The 18,813-nt window shown below is 39.4% G+C and overlaps 1 protein-coding gene across 5 annotated transcripts in view, besides 4 other annotated features; it reads right to left on the bottom strand.

Moving 5' to 3' along the window:
* ABCD3 (ATP binding cassette subfamily D member 3) overlaps positions 1–18,813 on the bottom strand; it is a 133,533-nt gene that overhangs the window by 92,322 nt on the left and 22,398 nt on the right. For 4 of the 5 annotated variants that reach the window (XM_006710802.3, NM_002858.4, XM_047426549.1 and 1 more), the window contains exon 1: positions 7,754–7,953. The exons of the other annotated variant lie outside the window; for it this stretch is intronic. In XM_006710802.3, the coding sequence (XP_006710865.2) occupies positions 7,754–7,863 (110 nt within the window). In that variant the 5' untranslated portion in view covers positions 7,864–7,953. Of the gene's footprint in view, positions 1–7,753; positions 7,954–18,813 lie in introns of those variants that run through there. 5 annotated transcript variants of the gene reach the window in all.
* Positions 7,362–7,501: an enhancer, noted in NCBI's record as "active region_1347". NCBI's record gives its function as "activates an Ori minimal core promoter by ATAC-STARR-seq in GM12878 lymphoblastoid cells {active_cell/tissue: GM12878}" and the evidence as "EXISTENCE:reporter gene assay evidence [ECO:0000049][PMID:35858748]".
* Positions 7,832–8,211: a silencer, noted in NCBI's record as "silent region_1096". NCBI's record gives its function as "represses an Ori minimal core promoter by ATAC-STARR-seq in GM12878 lymphoblastoid cells {active_cell/tissue: GM12878}" and the evidence as "EXISTENCE:reporter gene assay evidence [ECO:0000049][PMID:35858748]".
* Positions 7,832–8,764: a biological region, named in NCBI's record as "H3K27ac hESC enhancer GRCh37_chr1:94883134-94883925".
* Positions 7,973–8,764: an enhancer, noted in NCBI's record as "H3K27ac hESC enhancer chr1:94883134-94883925 (GRCh37/hg19 assembly coordinates)". NCBI's record gives its function as "activates a minimal SCP1, AML or CMV promoter by ChIP-STARR-seq in naive H9 embryonic stem cells {active_cell/tissue: H9 hESC(naive)}" and the evidence as "EXISTENCE:reporter gene assay evidence [ECO:0000049][PMID:30033119]".

Genomic DNA, 18,813 nt, shown 5'->3' with positions numbered 1-18,813 from the left:
GCCGAATTCCATTTAGCAATGCCTCTTTAAAAGGTGGAGAAATAAAGACTGTCATATTCAGGAAGCAGCAACTGAAAAAATACAGAAACCTAAAACCATGTCACATAAAACTAACTTAAGATACTTTCCAACTCTGAAAGTAAATGATTCTATCAATTGAAAAAGGCTTCCTTTGGGAGATTTTCATGGGTGTATCTGAGGAAATTAGGAAGGCTCGGGAGTTTTTAAGAAGCTAACAAAGGTATGTTTTGTTGTCCTTTTAGTTTTCTTTTAGCAAGCATAGAAATGAGAGCTACCTTTTATTTACTGAGCACTGGGTTAAAACGTTTTCTCCATTAATCCTCACTTAACTGCTGAGTGAGTGAGTAAATACTACTATCCCTGTTCTACTGAGGTTCAAAGAGGTTAAGTAAATTGACCAAGGTCACAGATCTGACAAACGGCCAAAGGAAAAATTGAACCTACATCTGACTCTAAAGACTATTCTTTAACACTATGCCAAACTACCTCCATAATAAAGATCAAGTAGCTGCACAAAAAAATGTTCATTTTTGCAAATTATAAAATACGTGCAAATTAAAATAATCTTTCAAGACTATTTTGCATCCGTAAAGTAGAAAAAAATTTAAATATCCCCTAATGATGAGTAGGTAATTAAGTCAGCATTCATTCATAGTACTGCAAATTGGCACAACTCATGAAAAGTAATACATCAACCTGTGTAGTTTAAGAATGCCCACAGTTTCCACAAACACTAAGGAAATTCATAAGCCTCCATTCATTAATCCTACTTCTGGCAATTTATTCCAAGGAAGTTATTCAGCAGAGATGAAAATGTTCACTTGCAAAAATACACCAGTATAATCCATAAAAATTCCAGAGACAGTCTAGATCCTCAATAGCTAACAGGAAAATAAACTAAGATATTGTCACACAGAGGAATATTTACGTATTTCTTTAAAAGTATAGTTATGAAGGTCATGTACAGGGAAATATAGGAAAGAGGTATGCTTTAAATGAAAATAACAAAACATGTACGTTATAACTGTAAAAATGCACATAAATACAGAATAAAAGGAAACAAAAATAAAACAATATTTGTATTATGGTTATAACATTATGGATGATTTTTAATTTTCTTAAATTGTCTTTAATGTTTACACTCTATTAAACTGTCAAAAGCAGGTGATGATAGCATTTTTTTAAGTTTCTGAGACTTGCTTTACCTGTACATATAGGGGGTATAAGTGGTCCAGCTCCTAAAGAGCTCATAAATATACTAAAGACAACATTTACATTTGTAGCAAAAAGAATGTGTTATTTAAAACAATAGTAACCACAGCCCCCAAAAAATGAGAATCTCATTTGTTGTTGTAGAGTCAAACAAATATGAGTGTCTACTATATATTCCAGCCACAGTTCTAGCCACTGGGGCTATAACTGTGAATAAAATAGACAAAAATTCTTGCCTTTGTGGAACTTAAATGCTAGCAGTATGTATATACTGCAAACATATACAACAGACAAGATAAATATGTAAAATATATAGCATATTTTATAGTGATAAGTGCTAAGGAGAAAAGTAAAGTCTGGAAGGTAGACAGGATGCTATTTTGAGTGGCAGGGGCCAGGCACAGTGGCTCTTGCCTGTAATCCCAGCACTTTGGGAGTCTGAGGTGGGAGAATCGCTTGAGCCTAGGAGTTCGAGACCAGCCTGGGCAACATAACGTGACCTTGTCTCTACAAAAAATATTAGCCAGGTGTGGTGACGTGTGGCTGTAGTCCTAGCTACTTGGGAGGCTGAGGTAGGAGGACTGTTTGAGCCTGGGTGGCAAAGGTTGCAATGATCCAAGATGGTGCCATTACACTCCAGCATGGGTGAGAGAGTGAGACCCCGTCTCAAAATAAATAAATAAATAAAAATAAATCGAATGGCAATAGAAGGTCTCACTAAAAGGATGTCTGAAAAAAGACTGAAAGAGTGGGGAGAGTAAGCAATGTGAGTATCTGAGGAAAGAGCACTTCAGGCAGGGGAAACAGCAAGAGCAAAAGCCTTGAAATAGAATGCCTACCCAAGGATGTGAATGTGCCAGTAACTGGGACATATAATTAATTAAACAACCTGTACTCAGTTCCCCCTAGCAGACCACAGACAGCTACACAGTTCTCAGAACACTGCTCTGGGCCTGATCTGCCTCAGTTGGGTTCAGTACACAGCTACTTTGGCTGGCAAATTCTTCAATGCTTTTTTTTCCATCCAAGGTTGCTTAAGCATCTCTTTTTTATTTTGAGGATCCAAACGGGGCCATATAACATCTACTCATGGGTAACTGTAAGGGTCTCAAGCCGCTCTAGCCCCTCACATGATTCATGCTTGCACTTTGCAAAACACCCAGTGCGCCTGTGAAACTGAGAAAAGTGAAGCCAGCCCCTTCTAGAGCTTGATTTGAATGGGGCAGATTTAAGGAAGGAAAGCTGAATTTTGAAGTTTGCAGGAAAGTTGTAGAGGGGTTAGCAGTAACGTAGTGCAGGGAGTAAGAAGCTGGAGATATAAGGACACCCAATGGGTAAAGAAAGGCCCAGCAGCAGGCAACAGGGCTGAGACTCAGGACAAAAAAAAAAGTCAAGAAATTTCCAGCAGTGGGAATGTCCAAAAAACTTCTAAATAAAAGCATTTTAAGCTGTTCACTATGCTGGGATATAATCCCTACCACTCCTCCCAAATTTTCAATAAAGCCCTACTATAAATATCTGCTTTGTGATTGATTCTTTAGAGAAATCAAGGCAGACGCCAAAGAGACAGGCTCAAGAGACAAGATGTAAGTACCTTCTAAAATAGAGCAGAAAGTGCTCCAAAGGAAGCGAAGTAAGATGTCACTAAAAGAAACACAAGCTCCCTGAAATTCCTGAGAAATATTTAGGAGAGGAAACTGTGTTCCCACCATTTACAGAGGGGGGCTTTTAAAAGCAGGAAACTCACCCCATAAGCAGGTGGACTTTGGTAGACCTAGCTAGATTATAACCAGTCAAGCAATGAATAGATAAAACAATAAAGGTATTTAAATGCATGCTTCAGAAATTTTAAAAGAGGTGATCATCATTTAGATCATCTGGAGTAGTTAAATAACACTTCATGGATAGGGTGACCCTGACCTAACCCTTCAAGGATGACAAGAGTTGGAGAACAGGGATATCATAGAAAGATATTCTAGGTATGAGTAACAGCATGAATAAAGCTCCAAAGCCAAAAATGAGTGTGGCCTGTTCAAAGAACAGTGTAGAAACTGTCCTATTTGGAACAGAGAGTACCCATTGGCAGGCAATGGCATATAAGATTAGCCAGGTAAAGTAAGACCAGATTGAGGGAGGCTCTGAAATCCAAGATGAGAAATCCGAACTCTATTTGACAAGCATTGATAAGAAGCGAAAGAAACTGCTTTGTTCTGTTCTGTTTTTTAAAGATAATAAAATACTATGGCTATACAGACTGGTACCATTCCCTGCCTTCTAAAATTGGCCCACTGATTTCCCACTACCCAGGTCAGGTTATATATGCTCAGGTACACAACTATTACTTCTGCAAAAAGAATGTTTCTATTCATGTTTGTACTAGGCATCTCCAAATGCCTGTCAATTACGCTTAAAAGTTCTTCAACTATCCTATGTCATTTATCCTCTCTATAAACACTGTCTAACCCATGACAGAGCCGAACTAGGGAATTAAAGATGACTCAGTTCATGCCCTCAAGAAACTCAGGATCTGATGTAGGCAAAAGCCAAGAAAACAAACTAGTACAATACAGAATGGTAAGTGCTAGAGTAGGGGATACCTAGAGCAGTAGTCTCCAACCTTTTTGGCACCAGGGACCAGTTTTGCGGAACACGATTTTTCCACAAATTGGGGTTGAGTTGGGGGATGGTTTCAGGATGAAACTGTTTTGCCTCACATCATCAGGCATTAGATTCTCATAAGAAGTGTGCAACCTAGATCCCTCACATGTGCAGTTTACAACAGGTTCACGCTCCTATGAGAATCTAATGCCCCTGCTGATCTGACAGGAGGCGGAGCTCAAGTGGTAATGCTCGCTTGCACAGGCTGTGCAGCTGGGTCCTAACAGGCCACCAACCTGTACCAGTCCACAGCCCGGGGGTTGGGGACCCCTGGCCTACAGTATCATAAAAGCAGAGGACACTTACATCAGTTTGGAAATCAGAAAAAGACAGAAAACACCTAAGACAAAGTGTTGACTGAGTCTTGAAGAAAAAGAAGTATCAGCTGGGCAAGTTGGCTCATGCCTGTAATCCCAGCACTTATGGTTGGATGAGTGGGAAAAGTAGGGAAGGACCACACCATGAATACAGAAAGTTTGTATTTTAGAGTAGATTAATGATTTTAATGAAGGAATATTATGATCATATCTGAGCTTCTTAAAAAGAGCTCTGGTGGCAGTGGAAGATGGATTGAAAGGGCACCACAAAGTTTCTTTCTAACATAAATGCAACAAAAATCTGATAAAGGATGCTGTAACAGTCACTTTATTCCAGTTATCCACTCCTACCCCCTTTCTAGGCTTAACACACATCCTTCATGAAGCCTTCCCCAACCCTTCCCAAACACATTAATCTTGTCTTTCTCAAAACTTCTAAGACATGTCTATCTGTACATTTCATTCTGCTATCAGTGTTTAAGTTTCTTTTCCCTAACAAGAAGGTAAGCTCCCTGAGAAAACAAGTCATATATTTTTGTAATACACACACACACACACACACACACACACATCTTATAGCTCCCAGTACAGTAATATAACATTCTGAAATAGACACTTCCTTTAAATAGCCCTCTTTATCCATGAGTAAAAAGATTCTTCTTTTCCCCATAAATAATAAAATAAAAGGTAAGATTAGGCAAACTAAGGTGAAAAAGTTAGCTTAGCAGTGCTGGAATCAGGAGTGAATACAAGCTGATCAGGAATGAATACAAAGGAACTTTCTGGTGGGATAGAAATGTTCTAATTTGTCATAGGGATGTGTTACATAGTGTATCCATTTGTTTAAAAAATGTACAACTAATATTTGTACATTTCAATGTATATAAATTTTACCTAAAAAACCTATAAAAATAAGGGGTGACAGGCAGGTTGAAATAGATGAAACAAGAATATAGAATGTTGTTGGTACTCCTTGGGTAAAGTGCATTGGGCAATCCTTGTATTATTCTATTTATTTTTTATATGTGTGAAATTTTCCACAATAAAAGGTCAGAAACACACACACATATATATGAGATTTAACTGAGTGAAAAAAATTACATTAACAAAAATTAAAAGTAACCCAGAACATTTAATTACTCATTCTCCCAATGTTTGGAATAATGTTACACTGTAACTTTTAAAGTGATTTTACTAGCTCTATTACCTATCCAATTCTAAGGGAATATATATTCTAAAACCAACCTACTATTAACAACATAGACAAAAGAAGGCCAAGTAGCCACAGTTTCCTTAATTAAGCACCAGATATTAAAATTAATCAGTTCTGTTACCAAAGATATTCAAAAGCCCACTCAAATATAAAGTTAGAATCTTCTAATCTTCAAACTGTGATACCAAAGGTGGTGACTAAAAGATATTTGTAAGCTTCTGGAAGTACAATATCTACAAAAATACACTCAATACCATTTTTAATGGTTTCAAAATAGTTCAATCATTTCACCTCAACAATTTAAACTTCATGATTATCTGCTCAGAATCTGCAATCTCCTCCAACAAAATACTGTGTAAAATAGAGATTTTCCCCACTCATCCCAATGCAAAAGACTAATAATAATCTTTTGTTCAGTACATCTCCTGCTAAAGAATTTAATCCCCACAAAAGCTCACAAAGTTTCTCAAAAAAAAATTTTTTTAGGCATTTTACAATGGCAAATGAGGAGCTAAAATTATTTAATAAGACAAATTCTATTACATTATTTTACTTCTATCGCTACTATTTCCCAATAGATTCTGTTTAAAATTTCCCTTAGCAATAATCTATGGTCTTACAAACTGGTTTAGTAGTTAGGTGGACTGTGACTGGATGGGGGCATGAGGAGAATTTCTGGGGTGCTGATAATGTTCTGTTTCTTGATCTGGGTGCTGATTACACGAGTGTGTTCTACTTGTAAAAATTCTTCAAGCTCTATGTGTACTATATGTATGTGGCATGTATGTGATACTATATCACATATACATATAATCATAAAAGTAATCCAGAACTTGTAGGGCTGTCCTCGAGTCCCCTCCTCCATATTAAAACACCTGTTCTATGCCCTGAAACACTTCTTTGCAAAAACAGAATTCAAGTTAAAGGACCTAACATCTTCTTTCTACTGGCATGTTCCCAGGTAACAGGTAACTTCTATTTGCAACTGGGAGTTCATACAAACCAACAGAAAAACTTGCTTTTTATTTTCCCAAATTAATCCTTTTAAAAGCAAACTGAATAGAAGAAAAATGAGTAAGCGCTGTTATTGCCCAGACTATGCTGCAAATCATTTTCAACTCTGTTAAATGGATTTAGGAAGGAAAAGAAAGATCATCACTTCAGACTCTAGTAAGATAAAAACAGAAGGCGGCTAGAAAGAACTTAATGGAAAGGGTACTATAAACTAGAAGTCTATTTGTGTTTTAGCCCAAATTTTACTACTAATTAGATATTGTAGGCAAATCAAACACGGGAGGCAACAGTACCTGCTCAGAGGAATGAATGAAATAAAATTCATGAAAGTAGTATGTCAAGATTTAATACGAAATATTCAATGACTGGCAAGAACGCTTGGGAAGTAGCCTTTTCTCTTTCACTTGTCCAGCAAATAAAAATTGCATGTATGTGACATACATACCTGTATGTCGCAACCGTAATTCAGCTCTCTCTTTTTTACTTTTTCTGAACTGATAACCTCCCAAAGTTAAATCTAAGCACTGAAATTCTCCCGCGGTGGAAGCAGTGGCGTGTCATTAAAAAGGAGCTTGATCCTCACCTAAACCACACTCTCATCTTTCACCTACAGAGCCCAGGAAGGAAAACATTTCCCTCTAAGTCCGACAGAACCGATCCAGCCTTTCCGGATGAAATGCCACCGACCAAATGTTCACCGACCAAAGGGTTCACCGACTCCAAGGGCTCACCACTTTAGACGGCAATCCTGCCAAGTGGACCGGGAATAGTTTCATAGAAGCCACCCTCGCGACTTTCAATAGCAGTTAGTCGGGAATCGAGCCAAACCTCGTCCAAGTGACTTAGACACCAGCCTCCAGCCTGGCGAATCCAATCCCCATCCTCAATCACACATCCACGTCCCCAAAACAAATCCTTCACGGTCTGAAGATGAGATGGCAAAACCAGAACACACCCAGAAAGTTGACACAGAAGGGGGTGATGTAGGGAAGGGGGTGGGGGACACACCGCATCCCCCTCCCACCCCCAACTGGAGGCCGCTGCCTGAGTGCTGGCTGGGCGCCGGTTCGCCCGCGGGCACAGAAGAATTCGCACTCCCGGGGTGGAGCGAGGTCGCCGGACAGGCCAGCTGGGACCGACGCCGTCGTGGCGGGGACTCGCGGACACCCTGACATTGAAGTCCCACGGCAGTCGCGGTCGGCCCTCTCTCCGCCCGACCCCGTCGGGCAAAGAGACCTGTCGGCCGGGTGGGGAGAGAGAGCGCGCGGGGAGCGCCCGCTCCAGCCCGGGAAAGCTGCACGGCTACGGGCCTTCTTACCCGTGCAGGCCGAGGGCGCGGCGCCGCTTGTGGAGCAGGCAGAGCAGCAGGAACGCGGCACCAGCCAGCGAGGAGTTTCGCGCCGTCAAGTACTTGCTGAAGGCCGCCATGGCACTGCCGGTACCAGCGAGCCGGCGAGGGGACGCGGCGGCGGCGGCGGCGGCGGCTACCTTACTGCACGCAGCGCGGGGGAGACTGGGAGGAGAGCAGAGGGCGGGGCCGGCCGCGCAGGACCGCCCCCTGGCTCGCGCCGCCGCGCCGCCCGCGCTCTGGAGCCCACTTTGTACTTTGGCCCGGCGGGAGCGCGCTCGGCAGCCTCCGTGGGCGGAACAGTTCCCGGGACGCGCTCTGCGCACGCGCGGACTCCTTCAGGGTCTCCGGAAACGCGGCGCGGAGGAGCTGTTGCTACTCAGCCCTGCGAGGCGTCAGTGCTGCCCCTGCCTCACCCCTACCCTCCCACTCTTCGCGCGCACACCCCGGCTTTCACAATAACTGGATGAGCGGGCCTGGCCTGCAGCGACGACCTAGTGGGCCCTGCCTCTCCACTCCCGCGGTGATGTACCGTTACCACCCTCTTAAAGGAGCCCAGGAAGGAGGCGGACGGCCCCGTCACAGAGCGTGTAGGGAAAACACAGCACAGTGATTATCAGGACGAAACCAAACAATCGGAACTCCGCAGAGGTGTAGGGAGATGTGAGGAGAATGACACAGATCAAAGAGCTTTTTCCAAGCCAGTATTTTCCAAACCGCGGGTTATAATCTCTAGCGCATTGTGAAATTGGTTTGGTAGATCGGGATCATCACCCTCCGTTTTTAATAAAATTGAGAATAGAACAAAATAGAAAAGTTTCACAGTACATCACGTAGTAAAGGAGTTGTTTAGAGAAATTTCGATTTCAGTGTTTTGCACGTATGTATCGCCAGCGGCGATGTAAAATGTATGCAGATCTGGTCAGAAAAAAGTTTGAGAAACACTGTTCTTTGCAAAGGGACATTCAGAAGTAACAATCGTGCGTTGTATTAATGCTGGCCTCACTCCCAGAATCAGAAGGGCTTTGCAGATTACAACATTCTTCTCCTGTCTGACCCTATGTTGCAGGAATTGTTATCGCCAGCATTGAGCCTAGCATATATACAGTAACAGTGAATCGCTGTTTTCAGCTGAGGAAACTGGAGAAAAGCAAGTGTGTCAGAAAATAAGCTCATAAAACCTCGCATAATGCACATACATATTAAAGTAGCCTACAAAGTAGTGGTGCTGTGCCCTAGGTGTTTTCTCAATATAAATGAGCTGTTGCCTAATACAGGTTATGAGGATCACAAAGACGAGGTACAATAATGGCATGCGTATAGAGGTGCTCAACAGTGAATTCTAAATTATGCAGAACTGAAGCTCCTACTAATTCACTATTTGTCATGTGGACATTTTCATTACCTGGAGGGACAAAAGGTTTTGGCCCTCTGAAAGTTAACTGAAAACCGCTGACATAAGGCAGATTAATAGAAGAAAAAATTAATAGGAGAAAAGGCATACAAATTTAATGTGTATACATGGGAGCGTTCAGAATGGAGACCCAAAGATACTTGGAAAATTGTCCATTTTTGTGTTTAGGTTCAACAAAGTATGGACAGCTATGTAGAAATGTGATTGGACAAAAATGGTATAATCTAATGCTAACAGACTGAGTGGGGACACCCAGCAAGGCCTGTCTAGATTCTTCTTGGCCTTCTGAGCACCATTCCTTCCTTCTGGGTATAGGGCAGGAATGGAATGGAGCTCTTAACAGCCTACAGTCAAACAAGGCAGGTCAGATAATTTCTTTATGGCCAGATTTTACAGAAAAAGGGGGAGGGAAAACTAGCAAAATATGTTTAGGCTTTTATGGCTGGCTTTAGGGGATAGAGGTTCTGGTTTCTACATCTTGTCTTGAGGAATAGGGATCCTAATATCTATGGCTAGCCTAGGGAAATACGGGACTGAGAGACAGGAGGGCCAGAGTAGGGCAGAGAACTTTTGCTACTGAGACCTTCATTTTGGAGTATTGTGTTGTGAGCCCCAACGACCTCACATAATTTACGTAATTAAGTATGCCTGGCACAGATAACACAAGGATGAACAGATCATGGAGATCATATTCTCCAGAGGCTGTTAGAGAAGAAAAACGTGTAAAAAAAATCAAGTATAAATGTGGTAAGTACTATATTAGAGATATGAACAAGGTGCTATGAGAACACAAACATGAAAATATTTAGTTTTGTCTAATGCTTTCAATAAAGGCTTAAGGCTTGACAAAGGTGATTCTGTAGCTAAATTCTAAAGGACCGCAGGAGTCACTCAGGAGGACAAAACAGGAAATTACTAATTCAGTAATAAAGTGCTAGAAAAGAGTTGGGAACCTTGTGAGAAAGTAACGGTATCATCTTAGAGTTTGTAACAGTGAAGGAAGTACAAGCAAGATTAGTCAAAAACAGTCTAGAAAATAGATTTCAAAACAGTCAGAGGAAAGATAGAAATGATCTATTGACAAAACATTCTAAAAGTTACCCTTGTTCAAGAAGCATGGGAGATTCTAAAAAATTACACTAGTTATTCGAGCTCAAATAATTTTAGCTATTGATAAAGCCCATCTGACAAAAATCACCAGGACCAAATCTGGAACCCATTAAGTTTATTAATTTGCTACAGCAAAAGATACTATACAGCAGAGGAATTGTGGCCATGTCTCAAAAAAAAGGAAGAAATAAGGAGTCATTATAGTATTTAGAGAAAGAGAGGAGTTTAGGTAAAATCTAAATAAAGCAGTGCTTGATAGGCCTAAAGCAAATCAGATCTGTATGTAATATCAAACCTGGGCTGAGAAGCAGATTCAAGATTCTAGTTCTTAGAAACATACATTTAAGATTAATGTAGAATATTGTGTCTGAAAATCCCTTATCTGAACTTCTGCACTGGAAATGGAGACTGCTTCTGTAACTCTAAGTGACTCAAAGAGTTCAAATCTGCCAGGCAAGAAAGGGATGTTCTGTTCTCACTGATAGAATCTCAGAACAACAAACTTTCTAACAGTCTAGGATTTTAGAGAACAAAATTCCTCAGCACTATGTCCTTTGATAATTAACAATGCAATTTTGCAAGTTCACACTTCATAATATTAAATAATAAAGAAAAACAGAAAATGTGATTTTATGGGGGAGATCTCCAAGAGCTCTGATTTTTAAAGAATTTGAGCTACTGAGAACAGGTAGGCAGGGCATAGGAAGTTAGTGAATCTAGAAAGCCTCTGGAAGAAATGTTGTGTTAGCCAGACTCCAAGATTGTCCCTGGTGATCATGGTGTCCTAATATTTATGCCCTCATGGAATTTCCCTCACATCAGAGCTGAGTTTTGTGACCAAAAGAGTATAATGAAGGTGATGCTATGTGACTTCAAAGGCCAGATTATAAAAGGCACTGTGGCTTCTGCCTTGGTGTCTTGGATTGCTTGCTCTTGGGGAAGCCAGCTGCCACAGAGAGCACTCAAAGTGCCCTGGAGAGGAACTGAGGCCTCCCACCAGGAGCCAGACCAGCTTGCTAGCCATGGGAGTGGGCCATCTTGGAAGCAGATCCTCCATCCTCAGTCAAGCCTTCAGGTGACTGCAACCTCATGAGTAATCTCAAACCAGACAGCTCAGCCAAGATGCTGCTAAATTCCTGACTCGTAGAAACTGTGGAAGGTAATGTGTTTATTGTATTAAGTCACTAAATTTGGGGGTAATTTATTATGCAGACACTGTGACCTTGAAAAACAGATGGAAAAAAGAGGATTCCGAAGAAGATACAACAGGAGCAAAGATGCAGAGACCGAAGCAGATTGAGGAAGGTGATTAAGTCTGATGTGGATGGAGGCTGAGGGAGGCATGTGAAATGAGAGAAAAGTTTGCAATGTTTAACTGAAGTCAATTTGTGGAGGGTCTGAAACACCAATCCAACCGGGTAGGATTTTTATTCTGCATGTAGAAAGGTGTATTGCAGGTCTGGGGAAAGAGTAGTGACCTCAGGATTTATTTAAGAAAGATCATGCTAGTGGCAGTGTGTAGAGTGGGCTGAAGGAGGAACCATCAAGCAGAGGGACCAGTTTGAACACATGAAATAGTCTAGGTAAAAGGTAGTGACCATGTGAGTCAGGGCAGCACAGATCAAATAGGAAGAAAATGACTTTGTGGATTCACATAAAATGGAAATAGGTGAAATAATTAATTCATAGGAAGAAAATTTTTACATTGATTCTGATATTGCCTTGCTGAGTGTCTAAGAGGGTGATACTATTTACCCAAGGTCGGAGACACAGAAGTGGTACATGCTCATCAGGAAAGGTAATGAGATGCAAACAAATTCCTTACTAGTTTCTCATCACCAAGATAAACTGCAATAGCCTTAGCATCTCACACAAACCCAGTGATGATATAAGCTCTGCCTACCTCTCTAACTCCTATCTTGGCACTTCTCCCCTCCTACAGATATATTCTACCCCTACCCCAGGAGATAGATGCCTGCTATTCACTTCTGTAGTCTTCCCTTGAATATCCTATTCCTTCTACCTGAATCCCTTCCTACCCTAACATCCTCACGTTCAACTCAGTTTATCCTTTAAAACGAAGCGTTCATGGTCTCCTACTCTGAACAGTCATCTGTGACCAGTCCCCCCTAACCCCTTCACCCCATTGCCAAGTTAATTATTATCTTCTTTGTACTACTACTGTTTCATATATAATTCTATTAATATGTAGTAGGGTGTCTGGGGAGGCAGATCTTAAATTTTTTTTAGAGACCTGCCAATCATTTCTCTGGAAAGGTAAACACCTCAAGTCACTGAGAACAAATCATCTTTGCTCAGAAAAGAGTCACTTGAAAAGCCCCTCTTACCAATTAGAAATGGAAGGAGAATAGGTACCCAACTGCACCAAGGAAAGGACATCCTGACAAGGCTGTTTCTTCAAATAGCCCTAGTTAGCCCAAGCTGGCATTGGGGAAGTTTGCATAGGAGAGCCTCCTGGGAGGAAAGAGATTGAGATCTCAACCTCTTCCTTTTTGAGGTTCACCACTACTAGACTTTCTGATGGACTCAGATAGTCCTGTCTCACTAGATCAGGGTCCCAAAGAGGAATGTACTCCCTTTTCCTCCCAACTGTGTCCGCATTGCATCCTGTTCAGGCTTCTGCCAGAGCTCCCGTAGTGTTTATTTATTTAAATTGCAGTAACTATCATGAGGGAAAGAGCCAAATCTTATTTTTCTTTAATCCTACATAATCTGAAAAAAAAATTGAATACATACCTCATACTCCCAATAAAATAAAAAGGATAAATTCAAAATTGCTCAAAGAATGAATTTTTTAAAAGGAAAAAAAAGATACCATAAAAATATTAGAAGAAAAGATGGCAGAATTTTTTATGATACATTTATCTTATAATCTTGGCATGGGGAAGACCTTTCTAGGTATTAAAATCCAGAAGCCATAGAAAAAATAAATAAATAAATTTCACAACTTAAACATTTTTTTTGTGATTAAAAACAACCTGTAAACAGGGTAGAAAGAAAACTGTAAGGGAAAACTGCACTTATTTTTACAGATAAGTGGTTAATTTTTCTAAAAGTACCTTAAAATTAGTAGGAAAAAGGCCAAAAGCTAAATTTAAAAAATGAGCAAATAATGATATAGCTCACACAATAAAAAAATTAAAATGGCTCTTAAACATATGAAAGGATTACTCTTATCATAGAGATACAAAATAAAACTACACTAAAAATCAATTTTTATCTGCCAGATTGGCAAAGACCCCAAAGTGTGGTAACACTGTAATTTTTGATTACTAGTTCTGAGAGGCAGGTAAATAAATATGAACTCCAGAAGAACAACTGGGCAATAGCTTTAAAATAGTTACAAATGCATGTACCTTTTGACCCAGAATTCCACTCCAGGGAATTGACTCTGCAGATGTATTCTCACATAAGTAAAATATCATAGGTATAATGCATCTTTGTAAGAGCAAAGAATTGGGAACTTTTCTAAATGTCCATCAGTGGAGGTCTGGATAAACAAATATAATGGAATATTATACACTCATTAAAAGAATGAAGCAATTTTATATGAACTGATATGATTTTCAAATATAATATTAAGCAGAAAAAAGCCAGGTGCGGAAGAATATGCAAAGTTTATCACCATTTGTAAACGGAGCTAGTGGGGGAAAGTAATATATACTTATTTGCTTATAGATGAATAAAATATCTTTGGAAAAATACTCATGACATTGATAATACTACTTGACTGCAAGAAGGGTAACTTAGTAGGGGTAAGGGGTGGGAAGACTTCACTGAATAAATTTGTACCTTTTAAGTTTTTAACCATGTGAATATATTACCTATTACATCAAAAAAATTTTTTTAATGAGGTGACGTTCACATGACATAAAATGAGCTATTTTAAAATGAACAGTTTGGCAGTATTCAGTTCATTTACAATGTGGGGCAACTCCCACTTCTACCTAGTTTTAAAACACTTTCATCATGAACAAGAAAACCCTGTACCCATTAAGCAGTCATTCCCCTTCTTCCTCTCCCCGTAGTCCCTGGCAACCATCAATCAGCTTTCATCTCTATGAATTTACCTATTCTGGACATTTCATGTAAATAGAATCATACAATATGTGCCCTTTTATGTCTGGCTTCTTTCACTTAGCATAAAGTTTCCGAGGTTAATCTATGTTGTAGCATTTATTAGTACTATACTTCATTCCTTTGTATGGATGAATAATTTCATTCTATGGAAACATCACATTTTATATCTATTCATCAGCTGATGCACATTTGGGTTGTTTCTACCTTTTGGTTATTTGAATAGTTCTACAATGAACGTGAATGTACATGTATTGGGAGGGGTATATAACTAGGAGTAGAATTGCTAGGTCATATGGTAATTCTGTGTTTAACTTTTTAGTTTAAACTTTTAAAAATTTTATGTTTAACTTTTTGAGGAACTGCCAAACTTTTCCACAGCAGCTGAACCATTTTACCTTCCACCAGCAATGAAAAAGGGTTCTAATATCTCCACATCCTTGCCAACAGTTGTTATTTTTCATTTATTACTATTATTACAGGCATCCTAATGAGTGTAAAGTGAAGTGGTGTCTCATTGTGGTTTTGATTTTCACTTCCCTAATGACTAATGATTTTGAGCATCTTTTCACGTGCTTGTTGGCCATTTGTATATCTTTGGAGAAATGTCTATTCAATTCTTTTGCCCTTTTATAGAGTTGATTGTCTCTTTGTTGTTGAGTTGTAAAAATTCTTTGTATATTCTGGATACTAAACCCTTATCAGATATATAATTTGCAAGTATTTTCTCCCATTCCATAGTTTGTCTTTTTGCTGTCTTAATAGTGTCCTTTAATACAAAAAGGTTTTACATTTTGATAGAGTCCAATTTATCTATTTTTTCTTTTGTTTCTTATGCTTTTGGTGTCATACCTGGGAATCTATTGCCAAATCCAGGATCATGAAGATGTATCCCCTAGGTTTTCTTCTTAGTTTTGTAGTTTTACCTCTTTCATTTAAGTCTTTGATCCCTTTTGTATCAATTTTTGCATATTGTGTGAAGTGAGTGCCCAGTGTCACTCTTTGGCATGTGGATATCCAGCTGTCCCAGCATCATTTGTTGAACCAATTACATTTGAAAATGAAATTTAAATATGAAACAAAAAACCCAATCTTCTCAGGCTTTTCCACTTTAAGAATTATGTCAAAGTTCTGGGGTCTCATACATCTCTAGGGCATTATGGAGTCCGTTCCATTTATTAATCATCTGTGTGCACTAGCTGTGACTGAACTGTCATTGCCCCAGCCTTCATGGTTCCTTCTATGACATGAAAGGGGTATGAAGTTTTGGGGTGAGGCTGAGATCTTCAGACCTAGGCGTTCAGCTGACCTGTGCACTATTCAGCTAAAGAACCCCTCTCTCCTCCAGCCTCTGTCAGGATCTTTTTAGTTTCCTTGAACCTCAGTTTCAGTCTAAGCTTTGATGATCAAAAGTCAGGAAGCCATCTACCAACCCCAGTGAAGGCAAAAAGAAGCACAGGCCTTTCTCTCTGAATGGGAAAAGAGAAGGGGAGAATTTTAGACAGAAAATATAAAACTGCTATTTCAAGAAATTATCCTGCTACTTGTGAATTGAGAGCCCACCTAAAAGGAATTCAAAAGTAAATAAAACAGTCCTACCCTCTTGAAATGAATAATCTACATACCATAATAATAATAACCACAAGGACCACTGTAATAAAAGTTGTGCTGGATATACAATCAAAGTACTATGGGAATCTATAAGAGAGTGAAAATTCCAGGCTAGGGAGTTGCAAGGAGGCAAGTTTCTGATGACATGCATTAGTTTTATATTTATATTAATTTTGGTTCTCTTGTCCCCTGTGTGCCACACTTGCATGCTCAGTTCCATTCATTTATAAAATTATGCAGTTACAAAGCAAATTGTAGCCACTATACAGTCTTGCCCTATTCAGCAACTCAGTGCTCAGCCATCCGTCTGTATATGGAGTCCATCTGTATATCCAGTCAACCAGACACAGCTCCTAGGGCTTGATAAAGCTTAGTTTGACTGGTTATTAATTCCAGTAGCACCGTTCCCATCTTAGGACCAAAGTGTTGCCTTGAACCCAGCTATGATTGGATACTTTGCTGAGCCTTATCAAGTCTCCTTCTCAGAAATAGAACTTTGCATAATACCATGCCCAGGCTGAGATGCTGCTCCCCACTGTCCTCATGTGACAACTGGCCACTATCTGATTCTGGATTCTGTACCACTATGTGCTACCCACCAGAGTGGAAAATTGCTAAAATCTGATGTGTCAGAAACGCCACAATGATGCCAGAAAGTTCTAAAATAAAAAGCTATGAAAAGCCAATGGAGTCTTTATTATTGCTGTTTGTATAATTTTTTAAAGTTGTAATAAGTAAAGTTTCACCGATATAACGGTATATGGTAATTATAAATTTCAGGATCAGAAAAATGTAAATTGGGTTACAATACAATGTGGGTCTAAATTAATTCATACTATATTGTCTCAATTGCCTATGTTATAAAATGTATCAATGATCTATCAGTGATTTATTAGGGAGAAAAGACCGAAATACAAAACAGTTAAAAAAATAAGATGAATTTTTATTTTAATTTTTAACTTTTGTGGGTATATAGTAGGTGTATATGTTTATGGGTTACATGAGATATTTTGATACAAGCATGTAATGCATAATAATCACTTCAGGGTAAATGTGGTATTCATCGTTGCAAGCATTTATCCTTTGTGTTACAAACAATCCAATTGTACTCTTTTAGTTATTTTCAAATGTACAATTAAATTATTTTTTACTATAATCACGCTGTTGTGCTAGCAAATACTAGATCTTATTCATTCTTTCTATTTTTTTATACCCATTAACCTTCCCTACTTCCTCCCCTCCTGCCACCCCCCAGATGATATATGATTCAGTGTAAAAAGGACCCCAGGAAAAAAGGCCTTAAAAGTTATAAAAAGGAACAGATTGATAAGGGTAGAATTAGTATAAGGAAAAGAAAGCGCATAGGAGTGTATAACAACATGAATGTGGTAGCCGACTTTATCAGGGTCTTATTGCAGTTTAACATAGGAGGAAGCCTTGTGTTCTCTGCCTGATTCCAGACTTAAGTTCCTCCATCCTTGTGTTTCATTGCAATGAAAACTCTTTTTATAATACACAATTATGATCATGTCAGTCTCTCATCTAAAATTCTTCAGCTACTCTCCATCACATTAAGAATAAAATCCAAACTTCTTAGCATGGGAGTATGCTTTTCTTAGTGTGGTCCTAGCTTAGCTCTTCTGCTCATCCAGCCATATGGATGATTTATCGTCTCCATATGGCAGGCTCTGCCCATTCTTTGCATTCTGATTTTTTTGTTTGTTTGTTTTTTGAGATGGAGTCTTGCTCTGTCACCCAGGCTGGAGTGCAGTGGCGCAATCTCAGCTCACTGCAACCTCTTTCTCCTGAGTTGAAGCAATTCTCCTGCCTCAGCCTCTCTAGTAGCTGGGATTACAGGCACCCGCCACTACGCCCAGCTAATTTTTTTTTTTTTTGGATTTTTTTAGTAGAGATGGGGTTTCACCATGTTGGCCAAGCTGGTCTTAAACTCCTCACCTCAAGTGATCCCCCCACCTTGGCCTCCCAAAGTGCTGGAATGACAGGCATGAGCCATCGCAGCAGCCTTGCATTCTGATTCTAGTAACCTAATCTGCTACCCTGATCCCGGTGTATATTGTCTTTCAAGACTTGGCTCAGTCAACGCTTTCTGTTATGTTTTCTCTATCTTTCTCTACCCTCAAGTCAAAATAAAATCTTCTTTGCTCCTCTATAATAGAAATGACAGCTCTGTATCGTACTGGTTTATTTACTTAACTTCTGCATCTCTTAGAGAATGAGTTCCTTCAGGAAAAGTTCTGTACGTTTTTTCTGCAAAGGGCCAAGTAATAAATATTTCAGGCTTCATGGGCCAGAGAACCTCAGCCACCACTATTCGGCTCTGCCGTTGTATCAGGAAAACAGCCAAAGACAATAATATAAATGAATCGGCATTGCTGTGTTCCAATAACACTTTATTTATGGACTCTGAAATTCGAATTCCCTGTAGTTTTCAAATGTCAAGAAATATTATTTTTTGTTTGTTGTTGTTTCTTTATTGACCATTTAAAAATGTAAAAGCCATTCTTAGCTTGCAGGCCATACAAAAACAGAAGGTAGGCCAGATTTGGTCCACAGGCTATAGTTTGCTGACCATCGCTTTAGCAGCAGGAATGAATTGATTATAAAATAACTACCAAGAACAAACTCGAGATCCAGATTCCTCAGTTTTTAGTCTAGCCTGGTGCTCCTGATGAGCTGGATAATATTCACATACACAAATCACAACCAGTTGTAAGATACAATGGTTGAGAAAGCCCCATTTATAATAGAAACAAAAAAGATAAAATATTTAGGAATA

Source organism: Homo sapiens, chromosome 1 (genome assembly GCF_000001405.40).
Source record: "Homo sapiens chromosome 1, GRCh38.p14 Primary Assembly".
NCBI classification, from domain to species: domain Eukaryota; kingdom Metazoa; phylum Chordata; class Mammalia; order Primates; family Hominidae; genus Homo; species Homo sapiens.
The sequence above is the reverse complement of the archived record's forward strand: the minus strand, read 5'-3'. Positions and strand labels throughout refer to the sequence as shown.